The following is an 8,438-nucleotide window of genomic DNA, read 5'->3' on the forward strand; positions in this document are numbered from 1 at the left end:
CATGAAGGGGTTGAGGCTGGCAGAATGTGGTCCCTCAATCAGCCAGGCAGCAGCATTCCCACTCTGGCCACAGCTGGTAGGTAGGAACACAGGTCTGGTGTTGCCAGGCCTGCAGATATCTTTTAGATATGTCAGATTTGACCAAAAAAAACATGAAATTTAGAAACATTGGAAATTCACTTTGTTTTTTATTGAGACAGAGTCTCACTCTGTCACCCAGGCCAGAGTGCAGGTTTTCAATCTCGGCTCACTGAAACCTCAGCCTCCCATGTTCAAGTCATTCTCCTGCCTCAGCCTCCCAATTAGCTGGGATTACAGGTCCCTGCCACCATGCCTGGAGAATTTTTTGTACTTTTAGTAGAGACGGGTTTTCACCATGTTGGCCAGGCTGGTCTCAAACTCGTGACCTCAAGTGATCCACCTGCCTCCACCTCCCAAAGTGCTAGAATTACAGGCATGAGCCACCACGCCTGGCCAGAAATTCACTGTTTTTAACGGATTACTTTGCAGGCCACATAGTACACATCTACAGCTGGCCCTGAGTCCAGGAACAAAACCAACAGCCCACAGCAGGAAGGACGGCAAGGAGGGGCTCCTGAGGCCACAGCCCCTGCTTCTGCCAGTGGACATCTTCACCCCCTAGGACTCCTGTGTCCCCTTAGTACCGGCTCTGGGGGTGACGGTGAAAACAGGCGCATCTGCCCCCAAGCCATGGTGCAGAAGGGCCCCGGTGCTTGGTCTGAAGAGGAACTGGGATTTTGTGCAGAAGCAGGTGAGCAGACAGGAGGAGAAGGCTGGGTCACACTTCCTGGGCTCTTTCCAGAACCATCCTGGGAGCTCATGGCCAGAGATCTGACTGGGAGGGTCTTGACCTTGGTAAGGGGCTTGAGTAACATGATTAGCAGCTTCCTGGGAACAGCAGACACCTGATCACTGCCTGGGAAAACATTTAATTATTAACTCCCGGGTGGAGAGCCACCGGGCATGGCAGACGGCACAAGTCCCATCTGCGTTTCAGACAAACAACAAAGACACTTTACTGCATGTCCCAAATAATTGCAGGGGACATCCTTACATTAAAAAACTCTCTGCTGTTCATCTGAAATTCAGGCAGAACTGGGTGTGCTGCATTTTATCTGGCAACACCATGGGAGAGCCAGGGGGGCTGGGCTGAGTTCTCTTACCCCGTGAGGCCCAGCACGCCGGGAGGCTCCGCAGAGAGAATGAAAGCAAAGCCGAAGACGCAATCTGAAATCCTGGCTTCCCCAGGAAAAGCCAGTGCCAGGTCAGAGGAGAGGAAGGTTGCTCACCTACCCGGGCAACCGTTTTCTATGTAACTGATCTCTTGGGTGGGTGGGGGGTGGGGGGAGAGGCTATAAAATCCCAGGTCCATGAACTTCAATGACTCTTAGTGTGTGTATCTTTCCTTGGCCCTCCTAGGGTAGCTACTAATGAGGAGAAAAGAAAATCATCACAGTCAAAGCAAGTTCAACAAAAACTTAGCATTTTGCTGCTAACTTACTCCAAGAAAACCTAAAATCCTCAACTGGCTCATTCGTCCTCCAATACCTCTGATGAAAAGGTAGAGAGACTTTTCCACTAATTATTTCAGCCACTGTGAAAATATGAAAGCTGACCTGGGAGAGAAGATACATAATAAAAACAAACAAAAAACCTCACAGCCAGGGCTGACTTTGTCAAGGTTAGAGTTGCAAAACCTTTGTAAACACCTTTAAAAGTGCAAGAGTTCAGCCAGGCGCAGTGGCTCACGCCTGTAATCCCCGCACTTTGAGAGGCCAAGGTGGGTGGATCACCTGATGTCACTCAGGAGTTTGAGACCAGCCTGTAAACATGGTAAAACCCCATCTCTACTAAAAATACAAAAATTAGCCGGGTATGGCGGTGGGCGCCTGCAATGCCAGCTACTTGGGAGGCTGACGCAGGAGAATCTCTTGAACTTGGGAGGCAGAGTTTGTAGTGAGGCAAGATCATACCACTGCACTCCAGCCTGGGCAACAGAGTGGGACTCTGTCTCAAAAAATAAACAACGACAACAACAACAAAAACCGTGCAAGAGTTTCCTCAGCTGAACTCTGATTTAAGATACTTTTTCACCATAAGAAGGTTTTTATTGATATGGAATCTCTGAGAGACACCCTGTGTGTGAAACACATGGAAACCGAGATTTTGTGACTAAACATTTCATTTATTTTGCGCATTCCTGTGTAAAATGCGCCCGTCCTCAAGGCAGTGAGGACCCCGAGGCTACCCTGGTGCCATTTACAGACATTTAAACTCGGGGTCAAATGGTTGCAGGACTGACAGCACTCCATGGGAACCCGTGGAACTGGAACAGAATATTCAAGGAATCCAGGTTCCATCGGATGTTAGAAAATTGCCGTTCTAGGAGCTGACATAAACATAGGGCTGAGGGCAATTGCGAGGGGGTGGGCTTCAGGGAAGGGTGGGCCGCCAGCCAGTCCAGAGTTGGCAGGTGTGAGGGAAGAGGAGGCCAGCCAGGTGTGAGGGAAGGGGAGGCCAGCCAGGCAGAGGAGAGAAAGGCATGCCGGCTTCCTTCTGTTCATTTAATCCACTGTTCTCCTCCCCGCACCTGCAAAACACATCAGCTGAGAAGGAGCTAGAACACAACATATGGGGGCCCTGGCCAAGGGAGTGGACTGCTCTGGAAGTTGCTGCAAAAGCAGACCTTCTGACACACTGCCACAAATACTGGAGGGCTGAACTTACCCCTGCCCACACTACCGGAGGGGAGGACCTACCCCTGGCCCACACTCCCAGAGGAGGGATGGACCTACCCTGCCCACACTCCCAGAGGAATGGACCTACCCCCGCCCACGCTCCCAGAGGGATGGACCTACCCCAGCCCAGTCTCCTGGAGAGATGGACCTGTTCCGCCCACACTCCCAGAGGGGTGGACCTACCCCAGCCCACGCTCCCACAGGGGTGGACCTATCCTGCCCACGCTCCCAGAGGGGTGGACTTGCCACAGCCCATGCTCCCACAGGGGTGGACCTATCCTGCCCATGCTCCCAGAGGGGTGGGCCTACGCCCATCCAGGCTCCCAGAGGGATGGACATGCCACACCCATGCTCCCAGAGGGGCGGATCTACTCCACCTAGGCTCCCAGAGGGGTGGATCTACCCCAGCCCACGCTCGTGGAGGAGTGGACCTATCCCCACCCATGCTCCCGGAGGAGGGGTGGACCTACACCAGCCCACACTCCCAGGGGAGGGGTGGACCTACCCCAGCCCACACTCCTGGAAGTATGAACCTACCCCAGCCCACACTCCCGGAGGAAGGGTGGAGCTACCCCAGCCCACACTCCCAGAGGGATGAACCTACTCCAGCCCATGCTCCCAGAGGAGGGGTGGACCTACCCCAGCCCATGCTCCCGGAGGAGGGGTGGACCTACCCCAGCCCACGCTCCCAGAGGGATGAACCTACCCTGTCCATGCTCCCAGAGTAGGGATGGACCTGCCCCTCCCATGCCCCCCGCCACGCCCTCAACATGGAGAAGCCACCAGCCCCCAGTAACTGAAGCAGAACCTGGCGGGGAGGTCTGGGGATCCGACCACATCAGTGCTGGGATTCAGTCTAGCACCACCTCTTCCTGCAGTCTTGCCTAGAAGCTGTCCCCCAAACCCGCCCTGCCCCACTACTCCTCAAAGCCCCCCAGAGAGGTGGCCCATCCCATCCACCCCAAATAGAGTGACTATGGCTGTGTCCACATGAAACCACGTGGCAACCCCACGTCAGGGCTGTGCCTTCTGCCACGTAGGCCCCAGGAATCAGCATGGCATTAGACTCACTGTGAGCTGAACTGGGTCCCCAGCTCAAATCCGTATGTGGAAGTCTGAATCTCTGGGGCCTGGGAAATTGACAGTATTGGAGACAAGGCCTTTAAAAAGTAGTTAAGTTTCCACAAGGTCTTACAGGTGGGCCCTAATGCAAGGCTGGTGTCCTTACCAGAAGAGGAACTCTGGACACACAAGAGTCACCCAGGGGTGCAAGTGCACAGAGGGATGATCATGGGAAGACACAGCAAGAAGGCAGCCACGTGCACACCAGGGAGTGAGACCTCAGGAGGACCCAGCCCTGCCACACCTTGATCTCAGACAAACAGCCTCCAGAACTGTGAGACCATCAATGTCTGTCATCTAGGCTGCCAGTTCTGTGGTGCTTTGTGATGGCAGCCCGAGCTGACTCCTCCAGTCCCCAGGACCCTCCTGATAGGTTTGTGAAACAGATGCATGGAACAAACAGATTTCTGAAAAGAACCTCCATCTATCCAGGTTTCCTGGGATTTCCCTAATCACCATCAGACAAACACTCTGTTGCCAGCCCCGCTGGCATCTCGGGATGAACTCAGGAAACGGGATCCTGCCTCTGAGTTTCTGCCCTCCACTGGTGTCACCATCTCCTGCCCTGAGTTTCTCTCCCTGTTCAGCCAAATCCTTCCCTTTCAGACTCGTTCTACCCCAGGTCAGTACCAACTGCCTATGGTACACAAGCTCCCCTTCCTCTCACCTCAGAGGGCCTGGAGTCAACGCCTAATTCCACATCTAATTCCTTCCTAAACTGTGCCTCCTGACTCCAGCTCTGACAACTAATTCCATTACACATACACCCTCAAACCCTCCTCTGGACATATACATTTGTGAAATGTAACTGGATAGAACAAAAACACACAGGTCATTTTGCTGCTGAATTTTTAAGAGGGCTTTATATAGCAGTGTCTCAGAGAGAGGGGTAAATGCAGCATTTCCCAAGTGCCCCTGCCCCAGACATTCTTTTCCCCTGGGGCTCATAAACAATCTCCCACAACAGGAAGAGAAGCTATGGTCTGAGTTGCCCATGGGCCTTTCCTTGCTAGACTCAAGATCTTAGAAGCAAAAGCCAATCACAAACCTACAATGCATGGCCCATTGAGGCCAGCACCCTGCCAAGTATTATCGCCTGAAAGAGGGATAGCATTAGGAGATACATCTAATGTAAATGACAAGTAAATGGGTGCAGCACACCAACATGACACATGTATACATAAGTAACAAACCTGCACATTTTGCACATGTACCCTAGAACTTAAAGTTTAATAAATATATATATGGAAAGACACTGACAGCAGGAACTCTGCAATGGTTCTCTATCTAAAAGAAGTGGGCTGTTGGGATATAACGGCTACTTCACACCTTCCTCTTAATACTAAAACCAATATCCCCAAATCAGAAAACAAACTACTAATAAATCAGATGCCTGAATTAAAATGATACGTCACTTAAGAGCACTCCCTTAGATGAATTGCAATGCCTCACTGGTGCGTTCTATTAAGATATTGGGGTGTCCAGGTCTTGCAAAAGACTGGTGAGATGGTACATTCATTAGGTAAGTCTATTTCTCTGCCATGCCTCAGCATTCACGTGGGAGTGTGCCGTTTTCTCGGTGGCACCAGTGACCACACCACTAATGTGGTCTGCACTATCTTTCTTTGGCCAGACTCAACACAGCCTCCAACAGTCTCTCAGCTTCTGCTAGAAAAGCCAGAGAGAAGAGTCTGTCTGGCTTTCTAATTGGGCCTCAGTGGGTTTCTGTCCGGCTGCTGTAAAGAGCACGTGATTTATAAAGAAGGCTTCATTTTGTGACAGGGTTCCATTTCAATTCTCTTACAGCAGAATTCAAGGGGTTCTGGCCAGCTAGCATGAACCCTCTCTTAGCCTATTTGTGATATGCTGGCCTACCCATCTCACAGTTCTGCAGAAACCATTCACCATGACCAGAAAGGGAGTGACATGCCCAAGGTAAAAGGCTTCCTGGGAGACAACCTACAGAGAAGGAAACCAATCAAGACAACAGGTCAACAAACTCCTTCTGGGACACTGCCCCTGTGTGCAGCTCTTAAGTGTGGGTCCAACAAGGCCCTGTGTTCAGCAGGAACAAGAGGCCCAGCCACGGACAGCCTGGGGGGACACAAACCACCCCCAGTCATGACCAAAGTCTTGGAAAACTGGGAATAGAAGAGAATTTCCTGAACTCGAACAGAGAACCTACTCAAATCCTGTGCAAACATCAAAAATAAGTAAGCAAACAGATAACCGAATGCACTGTTTATGGACTAAAAGCAGGGAAATCATTATTTTCAGATAATATGCTACTGTGAATAGAAAATCCAAGAAAATCTAGGGACAAATTAAATAATGTGTAACTATAAAACTAGTAGAAAAAAAGTCCAGCAAAATGCAAGATAAGAATATACAAAAGTTAACTGAATTGTTACATTAGCAATAAACAATTGAAAAACATTCAAAAAACACTATAATACCACCAACAATAACCAAAGTCAACTAAAAAAAAAATCTAACACAATATGTGTGAGACCTTTATGGAGAAAAGTAATACTACATAGCATTATCTTTTTGAAATAAAGAAATAAATGAAGGTAGACCCAAATAAATGAAGAGCTATACAATGATCATGGACATTAGGCTTTAATATCTTCAAGATGAAAATTCTCCACAAAATATAAACTTGATGTAACTTCTAATAAAACCCTGATAGGACTGTTTGTAGAACTTAACACTCTGATCTTAAAGCTCAAAGAAGACAGAGAGCCAGATAAAACCAAGATAACTCTGGAGAATAAGAGGACACTCATTCTACCAACTGCTGAGGCTTACCAGAAAAAGTTATAGTATAAAAACAGTATGGTTTAGACAAAGACAAATAGATGGATTTAAAAAGCACAGAACCTTAGTTTGGGCTTGTAAATATCAGACTCCCATATGAGTTGGGGGAAAGGGAAGAATTAATAAACCTATGAGGCTGACACTAGCAGGTACTCATATGGAAAAGATGAGAAATAGAGCCCCACACCACTCCAGACACGCAAATCCATTCCAGAAGCATTGACTACTGTCACATGAAAAGCAACGCAACAAACCTCTAGAAGAAAAAGTAAGAGGCAATGCCTTCATGTAAGGTCCTGAAGACAGGATTCTGGCTGCTCAATAAATACTGCTTTGTTGCTGTGTAAGAAGATAACACAGACTTAGTGGGTTAGAGCAACAGAAATGTGTGGCAATGCACTCTCATCATGCTGAGGTCAGAAGTCCTAAATGAATTCCACTGGGCTAAAGGCAAGGTGTTGTCAGAGCTGGCTCCTTCTCAAGATTCTGGGGAATAATCCACTTCCCTGCCTTTCTCGGATGTTGGTGGTGACCTGTACTCTGCCATTCATGGCCCCTTCCTCCAGTTTCAAAGTGGGTCACTCCTATCTCGGCTTCCATCTTCACATCACCGTCTGCAGCCAAATCTCTGCAGCCAAATGTCCCTCTTAAAAATAATGACCCTTGTGATGACATTCAGGGCCCACCTGGATAACTCAAGATAATTCCTCCCATCTCAAGATCCTTAACTTCATCACATCTGCAAATCTCATTTTGCCATATGAGGTCGCACATTCAGAGGTACCAGAGACTAGGACCTGAATATCTTTGGGAGCCATTAATTAGCCAGCGACAAATATGTTCAACTGTTATTTGCTGAATAAAACAAGGAGAGAAAGAAGATGTTTCTTTCTACAAGGCATCGGGTATAAGGCATGAAGGGACAGAAAAATTGGACAATGTAAAAGTTAAGACTTCCATCAGACACAACAGTAAGAAGACACCTCAGGCCAGGCATGGTGGCTCATGCCTGTAATCCCAACACTTTGGGAGGCTGAGGTGGGTGGATCACTTGAGGTCAGGAGACCAGCCTGGCCAACATGGCAAAACCCTGTCTCTACTGAAAATACAAAAAAATTAGCTGGGCGTGGTGGTGCACACCTGTAGTCCTGGCTACTTGGGAGGCTGAGGCAGGAGAATCGCATGAACCCAGGAGATGAAAGTTGCAGTGAGCTTAGATCGTGCCATTGCACTCCAGCCTGGGTGGCAGGAAAAAAAAAAAAAAAAAGAAGACACCTGAAAGGGACCTTTACAACATAGGACAGAGTGCTGTGGAAAATCTGGGAAGAATTCCTACAGGGCAAAAAAGAAACAATTCCAGATGCAAATGGGTACAGTCCATCACAGGGGACACCTGAAGGGCTAGTTGGCATGGGAGAACACATCCCAAAGGTACCAGGAAAACAAGCAATGCCAAGGCCCACAGTGAAAATGCAGTCTGAGGATGGGGAAGGGAATGCAAAGTGGGACTGTTCTGGAGGCTCCTGGGGACTCTGTCATCCCCCACTAAAGCAGCCCTCAAATTCTCACTGCTATGAACTGAACTGTCTTCCTCTAAAATTCGTATGCTAAGGCCCTAACCCCCAATGTGATGGCATTTGGAGGTAGGACCTTTAAGAGGTAATTCAGGTTATGAGATTACAAGGGTGGGGTCCTGATCTCATAGGACTAGCATCCCTATAAAGGAAGAAACATCAG

The sequence above is a fragment of the Homo sapiens genome, chromosome Y (genome assembly GCF_000001405.40).
Source record: "Homo sapiens chromosome Y, GRCh38.p14 Primary Assembly".
NCBI classification, from domain to species: domain Eukaryota; kingdom Metazoa; phylum Chordata; class Mammalia; order Primates; family Hominidae; genus Homo; species Homo sapiens.